A 12,115-nucleotide genomic window follows, 5' to 3' on the forward strand; every position below is an offset into this window, starting at 1 on the left:
GGAGAAGATTAGCGTGATGCAGTGCTCTTATGTATTAGCGCCGCTCCCCCTCCGTCGCCTGCCTCGCGGGGTTAACGCCGGCGCCTTCCAGCGCCGCGCCGGCCGGCGCCGCGCAGCCCCGCGCCTCCGGCCGCCCGTCTTCCTCTTTCCTCCTTCCTTCCTCCTCTCTTCCTCTCTCCCCCTCCCCCCTCCCCCCTCCCCGGGCCGCTTCCTCCCCGCCCCCTCTAGACGAGCGGAGCGGGGCCAGGGCGAGCGGGCGAGCGAGCCGGAGTGAGCGTCAAGTGAGGGGCCGCGCGCAAGTCGCAGGCGTTCGCAGCTATTTTGGGCCGGTCGGAGGGAGCAGTTGGGTGGCCGCTGATAGGCTGGAGCGGCGCGGGGCTGCGGCGGGAGAGCCCGCGCCGGCCCCCGCCCTCCGGCCCGCACCCGGGGCCCCCTGGCTCTGAAGAGCGGGGCTCAGGGGCCCGGCGGCCCGCGGCGGGGCTGCTGCATTTGGCCTGCCTCTCGCCCGGCCCGCGTCATCCTCACCCCCGCTGACTGCTGACGGGGCGCGGACTCGCGTTCGGAGTTCGGAACTGCGTGGTGGGGACTCGGGGGACGGCGGCCGGGGCCACGAGGCTCCCAGGACCGAGAGCCCGGGCTTCGCTGCTGCACTGCCGCCAGCCCCTCCTTCGCTTTGCCTCACCCCTCCTGTGCTCTCACTGGGGCTTTAAATGAGGGTTTCCTTAATGAGGGTTGCGGGGGCGGGAAACAGTGGCAGGAATGACCAAGTGTGATGAGCTGGGGAATGGCAACCTGGGACAGCACAGAGGCCGGCAGGAAGGATTGAGGTGAACTCCCGGAGCCCACGACACAGCCCGTTCATTCATGGAGCTGCAGCCGCGGCTTCTCAGTCTTCGCTGGCCGGAGTCGCCCCTTGCTCCCCGCTGCCCCCAGAGAACTGGGGGAAGGGAGGCGGGCGGCTGAGCCCCCTGCCCTGTGAGCTCGCCAGCCCTTCCTTGGCTAGGACTCTGAGAAGAACTGCGTAGCAGCCAGGGGTAGCGATTGGGAGTGGGGGTGGAATTCTTGCTCCTATTTCTGGTAGGAGACCCTAAGGCATTTGACAGACTAGTGTAGGAGAAGGGGACTAGGTCAGCTTTTTCCCACCCCCCTGAAAAAAGACTGCCCCTTTCTCTGCCGACTGTGGGTGAGGCAATCTAGCTGAGCCCTGGGAAGCCGGTCCAGTAGAATATAGCATGGTTTAATATCCCTTCCCTTCAAGAGCTGCCTCCAGACTCCTCAACCCACCCCTCTCCCCGTGTGATTTCTGGCAGGCTCGCTTGATAAACCCTCATCACCTGCGCGTGGGCTGTTGCTTAAGAACGAGGAGGTCCCAGATTTCTCAGCTCTCTGGTTTCTACCACACCTATTTCTGAGTATTGTCTTTTGCCCAGTAACCTGAACCTCTTTAAATACGCCATGGAATACTTGAAGTCCTGGAAACGGTTCCTTTGTAGGCAAGTTGGAGTCCCCATTCTTTGCCAAGACCTTTCTGTTATCATTTGCTGTCAAATAATAACCTTGTTAGTTTCTGTTTATTGAACCCTTACTCTGTATTCCACTGCAACCCTATTATTCATTTTATATGAGTCAAACGTTGCCTAGGGTCACTAGTAAGTGATAGTGGATTTGAGCCTCAGCACGTCTCAGATGTCAAGAAACTTGGGTGTGGAAGTGATTCCCCAAAGTATTCTCCTAGTGGGATGAGAACTCAGGTTTCATTCATCCACTTCAATAGTCATTTACTGGGATGCTTATCTACTATGTACTATCCACCATACCAAGAACTTATATCTGTTCTTGTTTAATCTTCATTTACCCAGTGAAAGTAATTGCCACACTTGTCTCCATTTCACAGATGAAGGCACTTAGCTTAGGCAGGCAAATAACTTGCCCAAGGTCACACACTAGAAAGTAACAGAGCCAGCCTTTCCATCCAGCCTTCAAACCCTGAGTCCGATGTTTTCATCACTAACAGGAATGCCCGCTGTGTCTACTCTTCATAGAGTAAATGGTGGAGGCAAGTGGAGGGGGGAGGAGAGAGAGACTGTAGGAAAGTTCAGTGAAGGATGTGTCAGAGAAGTAAGATGAAGGGTAGGAGACGGGCTGAGAAAATGAACTCTCATCAAGAAAAAGAATGAGGGAGACATGGAGGTAAGTCAAACCCTGATACTGGGGTTTAGTTCCATCTGGGCACTCAGACTTTCTGGTGAGAGGTTCTGCTCCTTTATAGCTGGCACCGACCTAGTAGAGTCATCTATTGCCTGAGGAGACCCCTGGCCAGGGTCTGGATGGCAGCGATTAAGTATGACTATCCTTCCCTCCTCAGGCAACAGGGTCTCTGCCTGGGCTGGTCCTCTGCTACTGTAGGCAAACTCAAACCCTGTCTGTTCAGCTCCAGGCTCCACAAATGAAAGCTGCTGCCCCGCACTATAAAGGTAGATGAAAGTGGGGGCCGAGTTGGGTCAGACCAGTACTTAGTAATGAGGTTGTCTCTCAGTAAGTATTTGTGACTGCCATCCATGAAGGTGACTATGCCCAAGCTCTGTCGAGCTCTACATCAGGCTGCTTTGCCCCCTGTAAGCCAGCTGGGCCAGGAAAGCACCACTGAACCTACTAACTGGACTACAGAGGAGGCTGTGGGGCCGTCGTTGCACACAGCCCTTCTGAGCTGAAAGTGGGATTGCAGCCTCTCATTTTGGTAACCCAAGTACCATCTAGCTATGGCATCTTGCTCCTCACAGCCCGTGGCTCTGACTGCTTCTTGGATTTGGAATGGTGCCACCAAAGAATAAGAAGGAAAGAAGGCTACTTACACCCTAAGAGGAAGAGACAGTGGATTCAGATTGTTTTCACTTGCAGTTTCACACAGGGAGACTGCTGTGATAACGCCAGAGAGAGCTAAAAAAGCCAGCAGTGATTGGGGAAGGCCTGTGTCAGCAGCCTGGTATTATAGAATGAGCCCTGTGCTAAGATTGGGATACCTGAGTTCTAGTCCCCTTTAGACATGTGACAAATCTTAAAATAGCTCTAAACATCAGTTTTTCCATTTATAAAATCAAGGAAATGGATTAGAAAGTTTCTTACCGCTCTCTTAGTCCATGATTCCTGTCCCATCTCAGATATGTAGCTCTGTGAAGGTTGATCCTTTGGAATTGTAGCCAAGTCTTGGAAATGGGCCACAAAGTTAAGTGAGAATGCTTTCTTCATTTAATCTAGAGATCCACAGTGCTGGAGCAGAGCAAATCGGACTGTGTTTTCCCAGCTACTAAAAAGACACATAGATCACAGAATGTTAAACTAAAGTGGACCTTGGAGATTATCTGGATTTAACCTCTCACTTTACAGATGTCACTGATGAAGCTCAGAGAGGCACAGTGACTTACCTAAAGCTACATGACTGATTAGTATCAGAGTCTGTCCTTTTTGACCTCAGTTCCTCTAAGTAACAATGTATGGCTAATTGGCATTTAAACCTGGGCCTTGAAGATATTTCCAAATGCCTGTCTAATGTGGGCTTGTATGCCAGTGCAACTATACTTTGCTGGATTGGGATAAAGAAGAGTCTTCAATAGCACCAGTCTGCACTTCCTAGTGACTTTGGGTCGCCAATAGAAAATGACAGAAATGGTCATCTAGAGGACCCAGGACTCTCCCACCCAGCCAGGATAATTGGGTTCCTTAGTAAAGCCCAAGGCTAGACCACTCCCTAACCTGATATGCATCCCTGAGGCATTATCCTGAGCAGCCACTAGATGTCCATAATGCCTCATAGGGTGTTCCAGGAGTGAGCTGGGTATCGTTTTGCCACCAAATAGGCTTTGCGGACTCTTTTAAGGGTAGGTCCATCAGTGGCAGGAACAGAACAGGAGCAAAGACATAAAAGGAATTTGGGAAACTAGAAAGAAAAAAGTAGTATGGAAATTGCCCTCCACAAAGGGAAGGAAAGATATCAATTGGTGAATCAGTAATAATAAAAAGTAGGAATGGTCTACATGGAAATAGTCACTGCCTTCTTTCCAAGGTAATGAACACATTTGTGTGTGTGTGTGTGTGTCTTAGTTCCACCCACGTGTGCAAACACCTATCAGGGACAACTAGCCATGAATTTTCTGTTTAATAAGTAAAATCAGAATTGCAAAGGGAAGGTTATTTTTCTTGCCTGTGATCCCATAGTGAGGCTGGCTGTGCCATTACTACCCACAGTCATAAAGGGAATGGATTTTATTCCTGGAGCCTGATGATTCAAGGCAAGACAGCTGTTTTAGAGTTACCCACTCTTCTGAGTGTGCTTTGAATCCACTGTTCTTTTCCCCCAAGGACTCAGCTCTTTAAGGAAGTCAGAAGGGAGTGGACAATAAAGGATAAAAAAGCATTCTCCCTCCAGGTCCCATCAAGAGCAATTTTTAAAAACCTTGGCTAAGAAAAGACACAGTGCTTAGTACAAACGGTAAAGAGATAGAATGGAGAGGCCTTTCCCTCTCCTCTAAGACTAAGTTTCTAGGGCTTACAGTTTCTTTGTGGGCTGTCAGGCTCGAGTGATGGGGAAAACCTCCCAGCTAGCACTCTGCCTCCTCTTTTGGAATAGTTTGCATGTGGTCTAGCCACAGTCACTTACATGTTCAAATTGAAAAGAGAGGTTCAGCCAGGAGCCCTGAAAATGCACTTCTGCATGAAAATACACTGGCCCATTCCAGGCCCTTGTGGCTTTTCCTCTTTAATTGCCTGTGTATAGCAGTAATAATGGTTTTAATAGCAACATTTACTGCAGCGTTGATAGGTACTTGGTACTGTGTTAAGTTACACATATTTACTCCTCACAACAGCTCTGTGAGATGGGTACCATCAGATTTCCCCATTTTGCAGATGAATTTAAGAAGTGTTCTCAGGATCACAGAACTGACTACTAATGAGTGACTAAATTTGTTTCTTGAGGCTGCCATAACAAATCACCACATAGTTGGTGATTTAAAGCAGAAATATATTCTCTCACAGTTCTGGAGGCTAAAAGTTCAAAATCTGGCAGGGCTGCACTCCCTCCAGAGGCCGTAGGGGAGAATCATTCCTTGCCTCTTGCCCCTGCCAGCTTCTGGTGGCTGTCAGCCTTCCTTGACTTACAGCTGTATCACTTCAGTCTCTGCCTCCATGGCCACATTGCCTTCTCCTTTTCTGTCTGCCTCTCTCCTCTTTGTGACTTATAAGGACACCTGTCATTGGATTTAGGGCCTACCTGGATAATCCAGGATGATCTCCTTATCTCAAGATCCTTAATTTAAATGGGTCTTTGCAGACATCATTTCAAATTCCCGTCACAGGGTTCTGGGAATGAGGATGTACCCCTATTTTTCTAGGGGCTCATTCAGCCCATTACAGTGATAGAGCCAGGTTTCAGTCTCAGTACAGAGCCCAAACTCAACCACTGTGATGCTGTGATGTGCCATTTAACATGAAGGGGAAAGGGACAATGCATCTGACAACCAGCAGGTGACTCTTCCCTATACCTGTGCCTGTGAAGGGTAGGGGAGCCAAGCAGGAGCTGTGTGGCTGTTGGGTCTTCCCACTGGGAAGGGAGAGAGTCTCTCAATCAGGAAGCATCACATGAGCCAAGAGAAGGGGGCAGGCTGACAAGACACACTCAGGAAAAATCTGTCTCTTATTTTCTGTTTCTGATTCCATTCTTAATGATTTTCTCACTTTCTCTTTACATTGTCTCTAGATTTTATCCCAAAGATATTGGAACACTTAAGCGTTTACCAGTAGTAACACCAAAAGTACCTCCTGGCATTGCCACCAAATTTGGCTCCACTGTATCTAAGTCTTAGAGATTTTGAGCTTCATGTTCATTGGAGATTAAGGGATACCTCCAGATCAGGGCCAGCAGGTGCAGATGTGGAACTGAGAGCTATGAATAGAGTGGCTTTTCAGGTATCTGAAACATAAATGTGATCATTAATCCATGCCTATGCTTACAATTAGCCTCTTCACAGACACACAGTGTATGCTTAAAATTATTCAGATTTTGGTTGGAGAAAACCCAAAACAATATTTTTTCCCAAATGGACTAATACAAAATTTGCCACATAAGAGCACATGCGTGTCTGTGTATGTGGATGCTAGTGGGCATTATGGTGTACTGGTGGATGCAAAGCATCTCTGGAGTCAGACAGACCTGAGTTTAAACCCCAGTTCTGCCTCTTACATACCGCGTATATATAGGTTAGTTGTTTAAGCCCCAGATTCTTCACGTGTAAAGTGGGATTAATAACTTATTTCATGCTATTGTTGAACTAGAAGCAAGTAAAGGAAATCACAATCTCAGCAAATAGTAATGGTCGTAGCATCTATTATTTTCTAATACGGAAACCGGTATAGAAGAGGCTGTCTTGTTCAAAGTCAGTTACTGAGGGGATTCTTTTCTTCTGGATACCTGCTCTTGTTATTGCACCTAATTTATAACTTTCAATTCTTCATTTAAGGTATGAGATGTTTTTCATTATTTGTTTTTAACAGTTACTGGGTTGGGTTTTTTTTTTTGAGGTAATTTTAGACTTATAGACAGGTCAAAAATAGTACTGAGTTCCCATATGTGCTTCACCCAGCTTTCTCTTGTGTGAGTTAATATCTTACATAACCACAGAACATTTATTCAAAACTAAGAAATTAATCTATTCAAGACATAGATTTTTACACTTGCCCTCTACAGTCTCTTCTCCATAGCAACCAAAGTGATCTTTGTGACAGTAGATCAGATTATGTTATTGATTTGCTTAAAATGCCCCAGTGTCTTCCTCTCATAGTTTGAATAACAACCATACTGCTTCCCATGGCCCACAGGCCCTAAGTCTTCATCCCTGCCTGCACCTCTGCCCTCAGGTTTTATCGTCTTCCTCCTCATTCCCTGCCCTTCAGCTACACTGAATTTCTTTTCCTGGAATACTCTTACATGGTTCTCCCCATTAAGGCCTTTACTCTCCCCACAACCTAAAATGTTCCCCCATATCTTCAGGTGGTTGTCCTGTCCAGAGTAGCCCCACTCATCACAGTTATATCACTCAGCTTTATTTTTCTCATTTTATTTTCCATTATCTGAAATTGTCTTGTTTATGGGCTGTCTATTGTGCATCCCCACAAGAGCAGAGGCCCCTGCATCTTGTTTCCAATACTTAGACCTAGCAGTGAGTTTATTATTTCAGAGGGATGAGGACTGTTTTTGATATCCCACGTGGGTAAGAGCTCAGGCCTTCCTAATTTTATCGATAGCCCTAGCCCTACCCTGCTCTACTTACATTCTTTGAAGAAGCAGGTGAGAAATTACTAGCCTGATTTTTTTTTTTAATACTGGAAAAATGAAGGAGAATCCTAGTGACCTTAAGGTGTCTCCAGTTCTCAATTTTTAGAATTCCTAGCCCCTTGCTGACAGATTTATGAAGGAGAGTTTTATGGAGGTATCATAAAGGCTCACGGGTTCTTGGCAGTTGTGAATATGTGAGGAGTGAGCATAGGTGCACAAATACACATTATCTGTGCTCATGTACACATAAGCCTGTCATTTTCAAATTGGCTAAAGTGCATTTTCTCCAAAGGGAGTGGGGGCTGTTGAGCCTGAAATAGGGAACACCAGGACAGTAAGATCAAATGCTTTGAAAGTGGCTGTGCCAACGCTTTTTGCTAATTAAAGAATGTTAGGACAATCACCACTAGCAGCAGTAAAGGGCGCCCCATTACCTCGCTTTATGGAGAGCTGGGTAAATTTAAAGGCAGCTATAAATATCCCACTGAGTGCCAGAGCTATAGCACAGTCGGCGGGTACCTGCTGGGCAAGGAGAGGAGCCCAGAGCTTCTGGTCCCCTTTGTCTAGGGTTCTCATCTCTATTACCTGTCAGTCCCCAAATTTTGCTTGACCAAGGAAGAATTCCATCAACGAACCCTTAATTTAAAAACACTCAGGGAGACAGCAAACAGCTGTGTATTGAGTCTGCCTGGGAGCCCAGGCTACCTGGGTCCTTCTCCAGCTTTGTCAGTGACTTTCTTTTCCTTTTGCCTGGATGGAAGATATTTCTTCACGTTGTGATTTTGTTTCCTTGAAACACGGGGTGTGTCACAGAAATTTAAAAAAAAAAAATCCAGGTGCAGTGCTTATGCTTGTAATCCCAGCATTTTGGGAGGCCAAGGTGGGGGAATTGCTTGAGCCTGGGAGGAGGAGGTTGCAGTGACCTGAGATCGCACCACTCACTCCAACTCTGGTCATCAAACAGAGCAAGGTCCTATCTTTAAAAAAAAAAAAAAAAAAAAAAAAAAAAAGACATGGTTTGACACCTAAAAAAAAAAAAAGTGACATGGTAAGACCTTTCTCCTGGGAATATTCTAGAGCCCCTTAACTGAGCAACTCTGTGCTCCAGAGAAAATTTTAGCATCTGTAAAGTGGCAACAAAATGGGAACATACTTTTTATACTTATCCTACGGAATTTCTGACTAAATTAAAGATTTTTACTCAGTTTGGAACTTTCTCCATGTTTTTAATCTATTCAATTTGGCTTGAAACCTATTATGTCCTTTTCTGGGTTTCTTCTTGTATCTCTTCCATGGCCTCCAAGCCGTTCTAATCCCTTGGTTTGTAGAGTGGTGCCACATTGGCGCTGCCTCCTCTCTACCAGCTTTCTTGATCTGTTGTTCATTTTCTTTAAACATCAGCATCTGTGGCCATCAAGCTGCCTTGCACAGTTTGCTAATTGTTTTCAATTGTATGCCTCCAGCTTGAGCTATGGTTAGGATTTTCCTGTTCTAGTAGTCCACTCAGTACTGGCCTAGTAACGTGAGTTCCTTGGCAAGTTCATTTGTCTCATCTAAGGAGTTCCAGGGAGGGAATTAAGGGACCCATGATGGAAATGTGGGCTTGAACTTTGTCTCTCTGTAGCTGGTACTCTTCATCCCACCCCTTCCCATCTTTGAGCAAAAGGACAAGCACTTTACCTTAAGAGCGGAGGGGGCCCCGGTGCAGGGGCTCCTGTCTATAATCCTAGCACTACAGGAGGTCGAGGATGCAGGATCGCTTAAGCCCAGGAGTTTGAGATTAGCCTGGGCAATATAATGAGACCCCCCATCTCTAAAATAATAATAATAACAATTTAAAAAATAAGAGGTGGAGGGCAGCGCAGCATTGGGAACACCGGGAAACCAGCCCAGCGCCCACACCACTGGCTATCCCATGAGTCATCAAACAACCAATGGGTGAATTGGCTAACATCCAGGTTCCTGGATGCTGCGTTCCTTTTTTATTATGACTTGAGCTTCTTCAGGAGTTAGATCTATCAAGCCTCCAATCTGCTCTTGCTCCACGTTTTTAGAGGCAACTCTGTCTGCAAATGCTTCCAGTGGAAAATCACCTTTATATCTAGAGGAATTGGGGATAGGTGAACATGATCTAAACGTGCTAGAACTCTCAGCTCCTCTATCAGATTTAGAAAGGATGAGAATGTCCCCAGTTTGTTGGTTGGCTAGTTGGTCTATTCATGTACATACTCTCTCACATTTACATACTGAGTTTCTCTGATACAGCTCTGAATTTGGCTAGAACTCACAGGTAGATTTGTTTGCTTATTTCTTTTTAACCACAGGTAACATGACCACCTTGAAACTTGTTCTGCCTCATCCCAACACCACTCCAAGCCATGAATCCCCATCTTTCAATGTTTACCTCACTACCAGCCAAGAATGCTAAGCAGGGTGTTCTGGGGAACCTTTCATCTTGGTCTACTTTAAACTGTTTCTCTGATGAACACCAGACTGAAATGGCTCTGGTTCTGATGGGGGGTGCTAAATCCCCAGCCTTTGTGCAGCTACCAGCTGGGGATCTGAGGGGTCTCCTACCATGATGCCTAGACACTGGCAGCCTGGCTAGAAGAGCTCTCATTCTCTATCACTTTCTTGGTGACTAGGGCCAGTTTGTATGGCAGCCCAGTGAGGCTACTCGATTTGTATTCAGTGCACAAACCCTGAAAAAAAACCCTGCCAGCCAGCAACTCTGAAAGGATGCTTTGTGTGAGTGAGCAGTGTCTGAGATGGACAGGGACTCTCCTCCCTCCCCTGAAAACAGCCTCTCTGGCCCAGCAACTTATTGGTGCTTTGGATCTGGCACAGAGCTCCTGGGGATCCCTCCCCAAGAGGAGACCATCTTGGGATCCCAGATAACACTGAGCAACTTACGCCCTGTCCTTCCTGCCCTGGCTTCTGGCAGTCAGCCTCCATGAGCCAGTCAGCAGGATCCATTCAAGGTGGTGCCCGTGTATGCAAGAGAGACAGTAAGTGGAAAAGGGGGGAGATGAACATGAACAGACCAACCAGCCAACAAACTGGGGATGTCGTCATTCTTCTCAGATCCTGCGAAGGCTGTAGCCTCTGCTCAGCACTGCTGCCCGTCCTGCCGGACTGGTCCTTCACTCTCTCCCCAAGCAAGAGCTGTGGTACCCTGAACCTGTTTGATTTCCTAACCCATTAAAGCTTTCTTTTGCACCTATTATCTGAAAAGGGGCAGAAATAAGAATTCTGCTCCTGAACATCTGGTAGCTGCAAGGTAAAATTCTTTACCAAATTGAGACCAAGAGGTGTTCCTGCCTGATGGGAGACCAGGCCTGTCAGCACCACCACCAACCCTGTCTTGTTTTTAATGCCACTGGAGGAGTTGGCTCCTGCCAGCTGCTATCTGAATCTGTCTCTTTTAAGATGTTATTTGTTATTAATGAGTTTTCTAACCACATAACCTTGACTCACTTGCTTAGGTGAACAAGACCATTCTCATTAAGTACTCTTTTCTGTGAAGGAAAAGAATTAAGTGGGTAATGAAGAACTTTCTAAGGGCTCACGCATACATGAGAGCCTAGAAGACAGCATCACTGGCACGTGAATGGCAGGCTGGGCTTAGTCTTCTACCCCCTGAACAGCTCCATCTTAGGCCACATCTCTTTGTGAGAAAAGCCAAAGAGGGTGGCTGAAGTATGTTTAATCAGGTGCCCATCTCAGAGGTTACACCAGGTCTCTCTCCCCTCTCATATTTCAGTGATGCTGGGTTTTTTTAATACCAGCCTCATCTTTGCCAAATTAAAACCCTCCTTGTATCTTGTTTGCCCTAATTATTTTGAATTTAGTCCATCATAAATAATATACATGTAATAAGGCCAAGGCAGGCAGATCACTTGAGGTCAGGAGTTCGAGACCAGCTTGGCCAACATGGTAAAACCCCATTTCTACTAAAAATACAAAAATTAGCCAGGTGTAGTGGCATGCACCTGTAATCCCAGCTACTTGGGAGGCTGAGGTGGGAGAATCACTTGAACCCCAGAGGCAGAGGCTGCAGTGAGCCGAGATTGTGCCACTGCATCTAGCTGGGTGACAGAGGGAGACTCCATCTCAAAAAATAAATTTTTATATATATATATAAATTTATATATCTGAAATATATGAATGGTGGTGCTGACAGGCCTGGTCTCCTATCAGGCAGGAACACCTCTTGGTCTCAATTTGATAAAGAATGTTACCTTGCAGCTACCAGATGTTCAGGAGCAGGATTCTTATTTCTGCCCCTTTTCAGATAATATATCTTTATATATGTATTTATATATTGTGTATAAATACACAATATGTAAAGATACAATATTGTGTATCTTTATATATGTATATATGTGTGTATATATATACACATATACACACACACACACACACACACACACGTAATAAACGTTGCAACACTTAGAGTGTCTATTAAATAAGACAATGTAACCAAACAAATATTTTTCTTCCATTTTATTTTAGAAGCCTTTAGAAGAGGAATAGTGCGGAGAGAAGGGTTGTGGGCCTGAGAGAGGCTGTGTCTGGGGACAGAAGGTAGCAGAGTGGGAATAAAGATGTGGCCCCAGCCAAGGACTTTACCCAAGACTCATTGCTTTCACATCTGGGTATGTGGAGGAGAAGAAAACGCAACAAAATGTTTCCATTTGGCTGAACGAGAGTTTTCTCCAGACCCACCTCCTATCTAAAGTGTCCTGTCGCCACACTTGGGCCAATGGCACTTGTGGTTTGTGTGTT

General features: G+C 46.3%; 1 protein-coding gene across 1 annotated transcript in view, besides 3 other annotated features; it reads left to right on the forward strand.

Moving 5' to 3' along the window:
- SND1 (staphylococcal nuclease and tudor domain containing 1) overlaps positions 1-12,115 on the forward strand; it is a 440,400-nt gene that overhangs the window by 379,936 nt on the left and 48,349 nt on the right. The gene's annotated exons all lie outside the window — the stretch shown is intronic.
- Positions 522-591: a silencer, noted in NCBI's record as "silent region_18598". NCBI's record gives its function as "represses an Ori minimal core promoter by ATAC-STARR-seq in GM12878 lymphoblastoid cells {active_cell/tissue: GM12878}" and the evidence as "EXISTENCE:reporter gene assay evidence [ECO:0000049][PMID:35858748]".
- Positions 4,588-4,727: a silencer, noted in NCBI's record as "silent region_18599". NCBI's record gives its function as "represses an Ori minimal core promoter by ATAC-STARR-seq in GM12878 lymphoblastoid cells {active_cell/tissue: GM12878}" and the evidence as "EXISTENCE:reporter gene assay evidence [ECO:0000049][PMID:35858748]".
- Positions 5,466-5,525: a silencer, noted in NCBI's record as "silent region_18600". NCBI's record gives its function as "represses an Ori minimal core promoter by ATAC-STARR-seq in GM12878 lymphoblastoid cells {active_cell/tissue: GM12878}" and the evidence as "EXISTENCE:reporter gene assay evidence [ECO:0000049][PMID:35858748]".

Source organism: Homo sapiens, chromosome 7 (genome assembly GCF_000001405.40).
Source record: "Homo sapiens chromosome 7, GRCh38.p14 Primary Assembly".
NCBI classification, from domain to species: domain Eukaryota; kingdom Metazoa; phylum Chordata; class Mammalia; order Primates; family Hominidae; genus Homo; species Homo sapiens.